Source organism: Homo sapiens, chromosome 11 (genome assembly GCF_000001405.40).
Source record: "Homo sapiens chromosome 11, GRCh38.p14 Primary Assembly".
Taxonomy (NCBI): Eukaryota; Metazoa; Chordata; class Mammalia; order Primates; family Hominidae; genus Homo; species Homo sapiens.
In genome coordinates this window covers 76631275-76645668 of record NC_000011.10, presented here as the reverse complement: position 1 = coordinate 76645668, position 14394 = coordinate 76631275, and the positions used below count along the sequence as shown (strand labels likewise).

The 14394-nt window shown below is 46.3% G+C and overlaps 1 annotated feature.

Annotated features, from left to right (window-relative positions):
* Positions 7804–8123: an enhancer, noted in NCBI's record as "active region_5293". NCBI's record gives its function as "activates an Ori minimal core promoter by ATAC-STARR-seq in GM12878 lymphoblastoid cells {active_cell/tissue: GM12878}" and the evidence as "EXISTENCE:reporter gene assay evidence [ECO:0000049][PMID:35858748]".

The window sequence follows — 14394 nt, the reverse complement described above, 5'->3', positions numbered from 1 at the left end:
AATATAATACTATTATATAATCCTTAGGCTAGATCCAAATTTCACAAAATGCCCCTGGTAACAGGCTTTGTAGCAATCTTCACCTCTGATCCAGTACTGGATCTAAGATCATGCATTTCACTTGGCTGCCATGTCTCTTTAGTTTCCTTTTATCCAGCACAGTTCTTCGGTATGTTATTGTCTCTTATGACACTGACATTTTTTATGACTCTGGGCCAATTATTTCATAGACTGTTTTTCATTTTGGTTTTGTCTGATAGTTTCTCTGTCAGATTCTGCCTTTTTGGTGAGAATGCCATTTTGCAAGAGATAAGAAAAACCAGTATTTTTCCTACTCTCACACTCACCATAGAATGCTTCATTTCTGGTCACCAAAACATGCAGGATTTCTTCCCACCAACCACCAATTTTCTCCAGCGGGCACCATCTGGGGATCCTATGATTCAATGCTATACTGACAATATCTACCTGAAGATAGCGTCAGATCCACAGTGCTCCACCCCACTTCAGATGCCGATCACAAGCCCCAGGTTGTGACCTATGCTTCTGACCAGCCAGCTATAAATCAGGGTTCCCAAGATGCCCTCCTTAGGTTTAATTAATCTGCTGGAACAGATCATGGAACTCAGGGAAATACTTTACTTACATTTACCCATTTATTATAAAGGATATTAGAAAAGATACAGAAGAGCAGCCAGATGGAAGATATACACAGGGCAAGGTATGGGGGAGCTTCCATGCCCTCTCCAGGCACACTATCCTCCCAGCACCTCCAGGTGTTCGGTAATCTGGAAGCTCTCCAAACCCAGTCCTTTCGGATTTTCACGGAGGTTTCATTAGGTAAGCATGATGGATTACATCACTGGCCTTTGGTGAGCGACTCAACCTTCAGCCTGGGGCTGAAAGTTCCAACCCTCTAATCATGGCTGGATCTTTCCTGTGACCAGCCCCTATGCTGAAATTATCTAGGGGCTTCCAGCCACCAGTCATCTCATTGGCATACAAAAGACATTCTTATCACTCGGGAGATTCCCAGAGTTTGGGGAGCTGTTTCAGGAACTAGGGGCAGAGATCAAATATATATGTTTCTTATTATATCACACTTATCACACCACAGAAGTGAGGTAGTGTCTTTCTTGGGGAACCACATCAGAAGGCACTTTATGCCAGACCCTTATTTGGCAGACTTAAAAAAAAATAACTGAATCTACAAGGAACTTAAACAAATTTACGGGAAGAAAAACAAACACTCCCCTTAAAAAGTGGGCAAAGGACATGAACAGACACTTCTCAAAAGAAGATATTCATGCGGCCAACAAACATATGAAAAAAACTCAACGTCACTGATTGTTAGAAAAATGCAAATGAAAACCACAATGAGATACCATCTCACGGCCAGGCAAGGTGGCTCACGCCTGCAATCCCAGCACTTTGGGAGGACAAGGCGGGTGGATCATTTGAGGTCAGGAGTTTGAGACCAGCCTGTCCAACATGGTGAAACCCCGTCTCTACTAAAAATACAAAAATTAGCTGGGTGTGGTGGTGGGTGCCTATAATTCCAGCTACTTGGGAGGCTGAGACAGGAGAATTGCTTGAGCCCGGGAGGTAGAGGTTGCAGTGAGCAGAGATCGTGCCACTGCACTCCAGCCTGGGTGATACAGCAAGATATCATCTCACACCAGTCAGAATGGCAATTATTTAAAAAGTCAAGAAACAACAGGTTCTGGCAAGGTTGTGGAGGAATAGGAATGCTTTTACACTGTTGGTAGGAATGTAAATTAATTCAGCCACTGTGGAAGACGGTGTGGTGATTCCTCAAAGATCTAGAACCAGAAATACCATTGACTCAGAAATCTCATTACTGGGTATATACCCAAAGGAATATAAATAATTCCATTACAAAGATACATTAACATGTATGTTCATTGCAGCACTATTCACAATAGCAAAGACATGGAATCAACCCAAATGCCCGTCAATGATAGACTGGATAAAGACAATGTGGCACATATGCACCATGGAATACTATGCAGCCATTTTTTAAAAAAAGAGATCATGTCCTTTGCAGGGACATGGGTGGAGCTGGAAGGCATTATCCTCAGCAAACTAACGCAGGAACAGAAAACCAAACTCTGCATTTTCTCACTTTTAAGTGGGAACCGAGCAATGAGAACACAAGGACACAGGGAGGGAAACACACACTGGGGCCTGTGGAGGAGGGGTAGGGGGAGGGAGAGCATTAGGAAAAATAGCAAATGCTTGCTGAGATTAATCCCTAGGTCATGGGTTGATAGGTGCAGCACACCACCATAGCACACATTCACCTATGTAACAAACCTGCACATCCTGCACATGTACCCTGGAACTTAAAATAAAAATAAAACTGAGAATGAGGCTCTTCATTGATATCTAACATGATATTGTCCCCTGCCCCCAAAGCTATAAGATCTGCTCAAGATATCATCATCCAGGTTGAGGGAAAGGAAAGCCAGTGGAACAGGCTTGCGAGGTACTGTTGTCAGAAAAATAAAACTATTACATGATTCTACTCCACTGAGTCTAGCTTGTAATATGCATTAGGAAAAATTAAAAGACTGAAATGAGGACACTCTCCAAAAAATAAGAGTGGGAGAAGGATTTCAGGTGATTTCTCTTTTCTTTGGTTTATCAGTATAGTGGACCCATACCCAGCAAGCATTTAATTCACCACCACCCACCTCCAAACCCTGCCCTCCCATTCCACTTTGAACTAGACTTTGATGCTCATGGTCAAAAGGTAAAGAAGATGAAATAATGTAATCTTTGTCTTCTGAATTTCTAGTATCCCAGGTCATTCTTCTTAAGGGATTATTCAGGGTCATTTTTTACTGTAATTTTCACCTTATACCTGTAAGATTTCAATGACACCGTATTTTCAGATTTTTTTGTACTATTAACTTATATTACTCATGATTGATAATTAAAAAAATTGATATTAAAAAAGGTGAAATATCACCTCCTTCCATGAATTGACATTTTGAATTGTGAACCAGAAACCCGAGCAGCCTGGGGTGGGGATCGCGCGTCTTTGCTCTCTCACCAGAACTGTCAGCCTTCAGAGAGGGGACTGGGGGTGGGGTGATTTATATGTCACTACAGACATCATGGAAATTCTCAGCGTGGCATCTGCAGGAGAAGGCGGAGCTTGGAGGCAGCACCTCAGAGGGGAAAACACCTCTATGGCAGTCAGCAGGTTGGTGTTTCTTCCTCTTAAATGTCTCTGATCTTGTCTCCATCCTCGTGTCCATGAGGGTTCAAGCCTTCATCATTTCTCGCTTGGACTGTGGTCCCAGCCCAGACCTCCCTGGTCTCCCTGTGTTTGGTCCATTCTGTAGCTGAATAATTATCCCAGAGCCCTGCTATTTTTCTATCTCCTTTCCATGGCACCCAGCGCTCCATTGCTTACTCAACTAAATGCATTCACAAACCCCAATACCCTGACGTCACATTTCCCCACCTTCTGGTTCCACCCTACCTCTCCCCACTACCATTATCTACATCCCAGCCAACTGTGGGCTTCTCACCATCTCCCCAGCCTGCCCCTTCCTGCCCCTCGCTGCGCCTTTGCTCATGTCTGGCAATGCCTTCCCTTGATAGTGTAGCCTGCCCAGCTCTGGACTATCCTTGAAGGGCAAGCATCAAAGCTACTACATTCAAGAAGGCTTTAGCAAACCTTTCCTGAATGGGAACTGTGGCCAGGCTCTGCCAGGCCCTGAGGATACAACAATGAGGATGACACAGGCTCTGCTTCCAAGGATTCAGTCCATCAAGGAGTGGAGAAATAGAAGCACATCAACAGAGCCAGAAAGGCTGGATGGGAAGAAAAGGACAGGAAAACTATATAGGTAGCAGAAAAATAAGTTGCCTTTTTAGGTAATGTATTAGTTTGCTAGGGCTACTGTGAAACTTGTTGTCTTAAACCATAGAAATCTATTGTCTTGGCTGAGCGCTGTGGCTCATAATCCCAGCACTTTAAGAGGCTAAGGTGAGTGGATCACCTGAGGTCAGGAGTTCAAGACCAGCCTGGCCAATGTGGTAGAACCCCCGTCTCTACTAAAAATACAAAACTAGCCATGTGTGGTAGCAGATGCCTGTAGTCCCAGCTACTTGGGAGGCTGAGGCAGTATAATCACTTGAATCTGGGAGGCGGAGGTTGCAGTGAGTCGAGATCGCACTACTGCACTCCAGCCTGGGCGACAGAGTGATACTCTGTCTCAAAAAAAAAGAAATCTATTGCCTCGCAGTTCTGAAGGCTGGAAGTTCAAGATCAAGACATCAGCAGGGCCGTGCTCCCTCTGAAGGCTCTGGGGAGGGATCTGTCTAGGCCTCTCTTCGAGTTCTGGTGGCTCCTGGACCTGTGGCAGCATAACTTCAGTCTTCACATGGCGTTCTCCCTGTATATATGTCTGTGTGCCCACATGTCCCCTTTTTACAAGGACACTAGTCATATTGGAATTAATTCCCACCCTACTTCAGTGTAGCCTCATAGCATCTGCAGTAACCCTGTTTCCGAACAAGGTCACATTCTGAGGTACTGAGGGTTAGGACTTCAACATATGAGTTTTTGGGGGGGACAAAAGTTAACCCATAACAGATGGGGACAGCCCAGAACCCAAACGGCAGGGATGAGTGTGGAAGAATAAAATGGGGTGTTGGGTTCAAGCTACATTTTCCTCTGTGAGAAAGGCAGCTGTGTCAGAAGAGGGATCTAGGGGAGACAGAAACAGTTCATAAGGATTTAAAAACACACGTCACTGCTATGTGGTAGGCCATGCCTGCTCTTTATTCTGTGTTTCCACAAAATCGATTTCTATTCTGGATAGGAGAGTCAGGGAGGGGATTGCTGATGTGCTAGCCCCAAAGCTGGGCAGGGCAAAACCAGCACTGCCCACAGGAGGCCAGGGCTGCTAGGCAACACAAGATAAAGCAGTGCAGCAAGGCAAAGAGGAGACGAGAGAGTAGAGTGAGGCAAAGCCTGGGCAGCCGGCTTCATGAGGACACAACTAATTGCATTCAGCATCACACTGCCATATGCATTCATTTTTGCAAGTACATTTGATTCTCTTAAACACCTTATGTGGTGGAAATTATTGTTTCTATTTTACAGTTCCTATTTACACACCGTGGCTCAAGGTGCCTCAAGGGTGATGTGACCTGCTCAAGGTCCCACAGAAGGTACCGGCAGAAGTGGGTCTGAACCCAGGAAGTCTGATGGCAAAGCCCATGTTCATTCCATAGTCCCGCAGGGGCACTTTGTGCATAGCCTCTTCTTCTTCTTTTTTTTTTTCCTCTTTTTTTTTTTTTTTTTTTTTTGTGAGACAGTCTTACTCTGTTACCCAGGCTGGAGTACAGCAGTGCCATCTCAGCTCACTGCAACCTCCACCTCCTGGGTTCAAGCAATTCTCGTGCCTCAGCCTCCCGAGGTAACTCGGATTACAGGCATGCATCACCATGTGCGGCTAATTTTTGTAATTTTAGTAGAGATGGGATTTTGCCACGTTGGCCAGGCTGCTCTCGAACTCCTGGCCTCAAGCAATCTGCCCGTCTCAGCCTCCCAAAGTGCTGGGATTATAGGCGTCAGCCACTGTGCCCAGCCTGTAGCCTTTTCTTTAGCAACCCAGGCACCTCATGAACAGCTGAGATCCAGCAATCCATGTGTGTTGACTGACCAAGGAATGTTTCTGTGCAGCCGCCTCCAGTGCCCATGCCACATCAGCTGCAGCTGGGGTGGACATTTCCTTGCCAGCCCAGGCTCACCTCACATGGCCAGCATCCTACCCAAGCTGTGACTTTCTGCATCTGCTGCAGGCTCTTTGGCACCATCTGACCTTGCTTGGGCAGGCATTACAGCCCAGAAGTCTCAGGGACCTTACCCAGTGGGGGCTGGAGTCAGCAGATCAATCATCAGTTTCCAGTCCTGCAGATGAGCAATTCTGGAAGGCATTCTGTAGGCTTCAGGGGTCCTGGTGGAACACAGCCCTGTCGCCCACTGTGGAGACTGATAAAACACACCCTGGCAATGGCTTTGCTTCCTTCCTGTCCTGTTCTCCCCACTCCCTTACTCCTGCCTCCTGGGATCACCTCCCCAGTAACTAGTTGCCCCAAATCTTTGTCTCGCACTTGGCTTTTGAAGAAACTCAAACCAAGACAGTGATGGTGCCAGTGGGAAATTTCCCCTTTCCAAGGGGGCCATTCTGAAATTGGCTAAAGCAGGGAGCAAGAAGCCAGCAAAGGTTGATGGATTACGGAACATCACAAGGATTTTGCTTCAGGGGTAGAGCTGGAGAGGAAGACCTGGGGCATATCACGCAGTTTGGGCTCCACTTAAGCACAGAAAACAGAGACTTAGATTTGTATTTCTGGAAGACACACTGACTGCCCAGTGGAAGATGGATTAAAGGGAGCCAGAATGGGGTCAGGGAGACTGGTGAGGAGGCCATTGTTGTAACTAAGCGTAGATAAGACCCAGACCAAGGAGGCAGCTATAGCCTGAAGAGAAGGCTAGAGTCCAGCGTAGCTTAGAGAATGGGACCACTGAGCCTCAGCAAGAGCTTCATAAGCTCAGGGGCTGGAGGCAGGGGAGGGAGACTGTCAGGGCTGACTCTAGGCATCTGGGGCCCTTCCCTGATGGATAGGGCATGGGGCAAGGAGTAGGGGAGGAAGGGACCGTGTTACGAAGGTCTCTGGAGCACACTGGAGGTCTGTGTGTGGTGCTCAACGGGGAGATCAGGCTTGGAGCAGACTTGGGAGGTGTCCACCTAGTGACCTCGGTCCTCTCCCTCCCTCCTGGCCCATTCCTGGATGCACAGGAGGACCTCTGCTTCTTCTCCTCTCTGGTCTCCAGAACTCTCCTTGCCCCCAGCTTGAAGTGGGGGCAGACAAGCCTGGGCCAGACCACCAAGGCATCTGCTGGCCAAACCTAACGGAAAAGTGATGCATGCACAGAAGTTGGCCAACCAGGCACAGAGCAGGATGGGCTGGGGGTGAAAGAACAACGTTTACAGCATGGAACCTGGATGAGTCTCCCCACACTGCACTGCTCAGCAGTGGCTCCAGAAGGCTCTTCTGTGGAGCTGCATGTCTCATCAGCAGAGAGGGAATGATGACAAGGCCTATGTGTCCAACACATAGCGGGCACTCCAGACCTCCCTCCCTTCATCTAGTCCCCCTTCATATTTGACAGCAGCAAGCACCCTCATGCACACACAGCCCCTCATGCAGCAGCTCTGACCCTGCGGGGCTTTCAATCGGGTAGGCTGCTTTTTGAAGCTCTCTGATGTTCAAGGCTGGAGTCTGAAGACCTGGATTAAGGTCCTGACTCCACACTTTACCTTAAGTTAGTCTCTTTCCATATCTGAATCTTGATTTCCTCACCTGTTAAAAAAGTCATCATAAAAAACTTCATCTCCATTATTTTTACCTACACCCTTAGTATCCTTTCTCCACATGCCCTGAGACTTTCCTTCAGAACAGAGCTGCCTGCACTAATTCATATGCACATGTAAATGACTGGTGATGAACTTCAAGCTTTTACAGGGTAATGGGAGGATAAACAAATGAATCAGCCGGTGAGATTAGAGGGTGTATCTTGTTCGTATCTGTATCAGCTGAATCTAGTACAATGCCCTGCTCCTTGTGAGTACTGGATACAAGTTTGTAGACTCACTTAACTCTCATCTCATGTATCTCTGTGTTCTGGGTGCCCTGACACAGCCTGGCAAACAGAAGGTGCTTGTGTGTGTGATCAGTACCCGAAGGATTGACTGAATCCAGTGGGACCCAAAGGCCACATCTGAGTGTGGGGTTGTGGCCTAGGGAGGCCAGAAGCACAACCCCGGGGGCCGGGACCTCTCACCTCTCTGTATGCAAGAAGTCAAGGCCTTGGCAACAGCTGCAGCCAGCTGGCACCGGGTCCCTGCAAGAGTCATTGTTTGGCCAAAACAGGAAGCCGCCCGAGGGGAAGTGTGGCCTCGCCTCAGTGAACCCCTGAAGAATGGCCCCCGAGAACCTGGGGGACGTGACGGCAGGCACGGAGTGTGTTACAGCTGCACATCCCCACCCAGTCCAGGGGATGGTCCTCACTCGACCCTGGAGGCCTGGTGCAGGACAGGGCTGGAGAGCAAGGGGCTGGGTTCTAATCCTGTGCGACCTTGGGCAGGCCACCACCCCTCTCTGGACTTGTCTCCTTATCAGCTCTTTGCAGTTGAAGGATTCCATATCTGGCCATCTCATTGGTCCTTCTGGCTACCTGTTTCCTGTGTTCTGCCAGTGCTCGGTACAGATGAGGCCCATGGAATGAGCCCTTTTCCACCAGGAGTAGGGAAGCCTGGTGGTTCCATAGCACTTCACCATTAGCAAAGCATCATCTCATTTCATGTAATCTCCCCCAACGATTACACCAAGAGGCATCGGCAGTGAGGCTCATGGTCCCATGTCATAGAGGAGGACACAGAAGCTCAAAGCCAGGATTCAAACCCACGACCCCAGCCTTGGGGCCTAGTGGGCAGGGGCTGTGGCAGCTCAGAGGAGGCAGCAGCCCCCTACAGCAACAGGAGGAATGGGGTCAGAGGCTTATGCTGGCAGCTTGAGGTCTACTTGGTTGGCATTTATTTCTCTTAATTCATGCTGTGCCACTTACCCACTCTATGAGCCAAGCAAGTCACTCCATTTCTCTGTGCCTGAGTCCTCACTGGTGATCTGGAGATGATGCCTGTCCTGCTGACCCCAGGTTGTGCAGGGGTCGCATGAGCAGAGGGGCAACTAACGCTCATCATTGTGTGGACACATCAGCTGCTGACCCAGCATCTGGTCCTCTCCTCCTTCCTCGCAGAACCCCAATTCTGTTGGCTATTCTACCTGCCCCCAGGCTTAGCACTAGAGTCCGATTAATCTAAGTCAACCAGGATATGCCATTCCTGGAAAGACTGTCATTGATTGGAAACATGACCCAAGTCATCCCATTCAGACCTAAGGAAAAAACTTACGGTCTGCATTGGAAGAGAAGTCCTCTCCTGCTGTCTCGCACTGGACATTGCCATGCAAGCATGGATTCCCCATTGACACTGGCAGCCACCCTCAGCCCCGGGGAGGATGACAGCCATCCTCATGAGGCTGGAAGGGGAACCAGTCAAGGACCAGAGAGCATGGTAAAGCCTGTATTCTTGATGATACCAGGAGCTGCTCTGGACTTGCAGTGGTGTGACAGGATATGCCTCTTTGCTTTATTTAGGCCGTTGGCAGTAGGGTCTACCCTTACTTGTAGCCAAAGTCATCCTCATGCCCTTCATCATCATCTTGCAGTCTCTGATGTACAGAGAGGGGGGAAATGGGCCCGCCCTGCCTCCCACTGGCTCACACCAGGGCAGATTCAAAACCCCTGGCTGCACTGCCAGAGCTGATGACTTGTTGGTGGCTTTTGGAAGCTCTGAATTTTTTCTTCTCTGTTCCTTGGGGCGGAGACAATTCCTTCCTCCTTAAAGCTGGCCTCTGGCTTGGACCCAGGCCATCCCACTGGCATTAATGCTGCAAGATTGATGGGTCGGGGAGATAGAGAGCCCAGACTCCAAGACCCCAGCCCTGGCTGTTCCCTCTGCTCAGCCTCCAGTTATTTCCCCTCCTCTTTCCTCCAAGGACCTCAGCCCCTTTACAGCCTTAGGATCACAGCGTTTTCAAAACATAGGAACTCTTGGAGCTGACAAAAGTGGAAACAGACCCAGATACAGGCAAGAGACCTGTCCCAGGTCACACAGAGCTGGGACTGGAACCCAGGTATCTTGAGTCCTGGTCCAGGATTGTTCCCCATCAACTGCAGGAAGGCCAGAAATTGGCATAACTTTATCCCCGATGTTTCTTGTCTTCATCCATCTTTTCTGTCTCTATGGCCACTGCTCTGATTCAGGTGTCATGGTCTCTAGACTGGTAGTGGCCTCTTTCTAAGTTCCAGTTCACATCTGCAATTGTGCCTCCCAAACAGCTGCCAGGATTGTTCTTAATGCAGACCTGACTCTGTCATCCCCCTGCTTCATTGTCTGTAAGATTCAGGATCCTTAGGCTGGCAGAAAGGGCCCCTCATGACTGACCACTCCCCAGCCTCATCTGTCACATAAGACCTATATTCCTTCTACTAAACTCAGTTGTTGCCTCCTCCAGGCAGCTTTCCCAGAACCCTCCTTCTGTGGATGGCACAGTGTATAGGTCCATTATGGAACCCTTTGCAGGATGGGAAGGTCTGACCCCAGCATCTGCTCCACTGCACCATGAATGCTTACAAAGCACAGACCACGTCTGCTCAGCATTCCTACCTGCCCTGCGCCCTCCACCAGGTTTGACCTTGTCCGTGTGCAGTTTCCCCTTGTTGGTTGCAGGTTATCTGTCCTTAGCCTTAGGAATGAGCCAGGGGGCAAAAGGTAAGAGATTCTGACTCCTCATCCTCAGCAGGCTCTGGTGCTCCCTGCTCTGCCCGTCTGCTGATTCAACGTGGGTGCAAGTGAGTCTCTACCGAACATCACAGATGTGGAGAAGCAGGCCAGGCCCGGGGCTCTGTGAAGTCACAGGGCCAGAGCTTCCTACAAACAATCCCCTCCAAGCATGGCCAAGAAAAACCCCAAACTTGGAGCTCAAAGCTGAAATTCCAGGAGCTCCACTTCCAGGAATTAATCCTGAGAGACAAATATCCAGAAGGTGGACAAAGAAGAACATGGCAGAATTTATTTATAATAGCAAAAATCTGGAAACAATCTAGAAGTCTAGCAGTAACAGCAAGGGTAAATACATTCATGTATATTCAGATAGTGAAAAATTGTACAGCCATTAAAATTATGTTTGCAAACAATTGTTATTAATGTGGAGAAGTGTTAAGTGAAAAAGGACAGAATACAAACGCATGTATGTAGTGTGATCGTAACGGAAAAAATGCATAAAATCTGGGAGGAAATATCCAAAAATGCTAGAAAATGATTGAGTTAGGGTAGAAAGATTAAAATGTTTCATATGTTTATACTTTCCTGTGCTTTCCAAACTTTCTATTTAATAGTATGAACTTCTATTTATTTTTATAATCAGGAAAAATGAATTAGACATAGAGAAAAAGAAGAGATTAATTCTATTCCCAACTCCGGTGATAACTGGACACAACCTTGGGCAAGTCAGCGACCCTCTTCCAAAGTTCATTTCCTCCTTGTCTGTTCATCTGTTCCTCCTTTCCTTCATTCGAGAAGGGACTCACCTGTGCCAGGCCCTGTGCTGGGCACTAGGGACCCAAACATGAACCAGAATGTAAACATATGGAAAAATGTCTAACCTTCTTCATAATCAGAGAAATGCCAATTAAAGCTAAGCCAAGATATCATTTCTAGTCTATTAGATTGGCAAAAACTCAAAAGTTTGAGAACGTGCTCTGTGGGCGAGACTGTGGGAAAAGAGGCCCCTCTCGTACATTGTCTGGTGGGAAAACAAAATGGTGCAAGCCCTACCTGGAGGGGAACTTTTGCCGCAAAATTACATTTGAATTTACCCTTTACCCTGGCAATCCCCTCTTGGCAAAAATAAGAGAAGACAGATTCATAAAGCTATTCATGGCAGCATCATTTGTAATTGTAAAAAAACTAGAAACCACTCAAATGTCCATCAGTAGGGGCAGCTTGACCACACAATAGACAACTCTGTAGCTAGAAAAAGGAAGGAGGCCAGGCGCAGTGGCTCATGCCTGTAATCCCAGCACTTTAGGAGGCCGAGGTGAGTGGATCACAAGATCATGGGTTGGAGACCAGCCTGGCCAATATGGTAAAACCCCGTCTCTAATAAAAATACAAAAAAAATTAGCCAGGCGTGGTGGCGCATGCCTGTAATCCCAGCTACTTGGGAGGCTGAGGCAGGAGAATTGCTTGAACCCAGGAGGCGGAGGTTGCAGTGAGTGGAGATCACGCCCCTGCACTCCAGGCTGGCAACAGAGCAAGACTCCGTCAAAGAAAAAAAAAAAAAAAAGGGGGGGGCGGATGAAGAAGATCTCTGCATGCGTGTCATGACAGTGTGACCTCCGGGCTGGGTACAACGTTAACTGAAAAGCAGAGTGGACTAAAATGCATATAGTACGTTATCGTTTTATCCAACAAAAAGGAGGGAATACACAAATACATGCGTGTTTTTAAAATTAAGTATCAGTTAAAAGATAAAAAATAAAATTAAACAATTGTTGTCTGCTGGAGTGGGGAGGAAGTGTGGTAAGGGAATGGAGTAGAAGCCAGGCTTCTCTGAATATACCTTATTATATAGGTTAGCTTTAGAAGTACATAAATTCTTTCCATAAAAATAAAACAAAATTAAATCTAAATAAAAGTCAAAAGCAATCACCCCAAATAAAGAGCAAAATGAAATCAATAAATCTGTGTATTGAATTGTTTTCTTCACCAAGCAAAGCTGAATTATTTTAAGTGATTTAGAAACCTGGTAACTTGACTATAGCTTGACTAGTAGGCTATATATTCTAAGGATAAAAGAATCACAGACAAATTATAAAGTATTTTCAGTAATCATATTATTAATACCACTATTGGTGTTATTATTCTGATATTTTTATAATATGTATATATAGAAAGAAAGTAGGAGAAATGAATCAGTAATAATGTCAATGTTGTTAGGAAGCAAGATGTTCAGCATTAGACAAAAGAGATTCAGATACAAAATCAAAATACTTATGTAAAAGCCCTATAGCTGAAGGTTTTATTCAAACTATCAATATGAACCCTTGATATATATCTTCTTAAGAAAAAAATTTCCTAGCTCTGCACCTTGAGAAGATCTAAAAGCAAAGACCAACTCAGCATATCTCACACCTCACACCCAGATTTGTGGTTTCTAAATGCCACTTCTTGTAAAAAAGAACCAGGGCTTCTTGAAGAAATATCTAATTCCAGGTCCAGGCGGAAAAAACACAAGACAAACCTGGACATCTCGTTATACCAGAAAGTCAGGACAGTATTAAACACCACTAGGGTCAGGCCAAAAGGACTCAGATGACCAAGAGATCTCTATGGGCCAAAGGTGGGACAATTTGAGTGACAACAAGGTTAATAACTGCAATAAATTGAAAATTTTCAAATGCATTTAAAAATATTAGATAATAATTTAAAAAAAAAAACAAAACCAACAAAAAAAAACTTTGCTGATCACCTCTAGAGACTGTGAGGGAATCAGCTCATTATTCTGAAAACTGATAAGTAAAGGGGAAATCAGCCAGCATTAGTTCTGTCCTTCCTAAACCAATTGTACCTTAGGGGAACCAAAGCATCAGGAGAGAAGTTTTTCTCCATAGAAGTGTTCCAGCTAATAAATGAAGAAAGAATGATAAAATTAAAACATCATTGTTTTGTAATTCTCTAATGAAATAATAGATATAGGCAATGATCATCACAGCCTTCTAAAGGCACAAAAGGAGAGACAACCAAACATTATAAATATGATGTTCCTTCTGAGGGAAGTAGACACGCCACCTATGAAGCATTCTTCCTAGCACATTGAGTCTAATCAAGTGTTTAGATCTAACTACCAATTTACGGGAAAGGCAGGAAACTGAGGAATGTGTTAAATAACACTATGGGGGAATGCAGCCAGAAGGTGGAAAACTACATGGGATCAACAACTTTGTTTAGTCAACAAATATATATATATATATTTTTTTAAAACAGGAAATCCCAGCATTTTGGGAGGCTGAGGTGGGAAGATCATTTGAGCCCAGGAGTTTGAGACCAGCCTGGGCAACATGGCAAAACCCCATCTTCCATGAAAAAAAAAAAAATACAAAAATTAGCCAGTGTGGTGGCACATGCCTGTAGTCACAGCTATTAATACTTGGGAGCCTGAGGTGGCTGAATCACTTGAGCCTGGAAGGTGGAGGTTGCAGTGAGCCGAGATCACACCACTGCACTCCAGCATGGGGAACAGAGTGAGACAGTGTCTCAAGACAAAATAAAAATAAAAAATAAGGAGAGACCAGACTCAGTTGCTCACACCTGTAATCCCAGCACTTTGGGAGGCTGAGGTGGGAGGATCACTTGAGCTTAGGAGTTTGAGACCGGCCTGGGCAACATGGCGAAACCCTGTCTCTACAAAAACTACAAAAAATTAGCCAGGCATGGTAGCGCATGCCTGTGGTCCCAGCTACTCAGGAGGCTGAGGTGGGAGGATCACTTGAGCCCAGGAGGTTGAGGCTACAGTGAGCCAAGATCATGCCACTGCATACCAACGTGGGTGACAGAGTGAGTTAGACCCTGATTCAAAATAAAAAAAAAAACCACCCCCTCCCCCCCCAAAAAAGAGAGAGGAAGTAGAAAAGATTGAAAGAGATTTAAGAGAAAACGA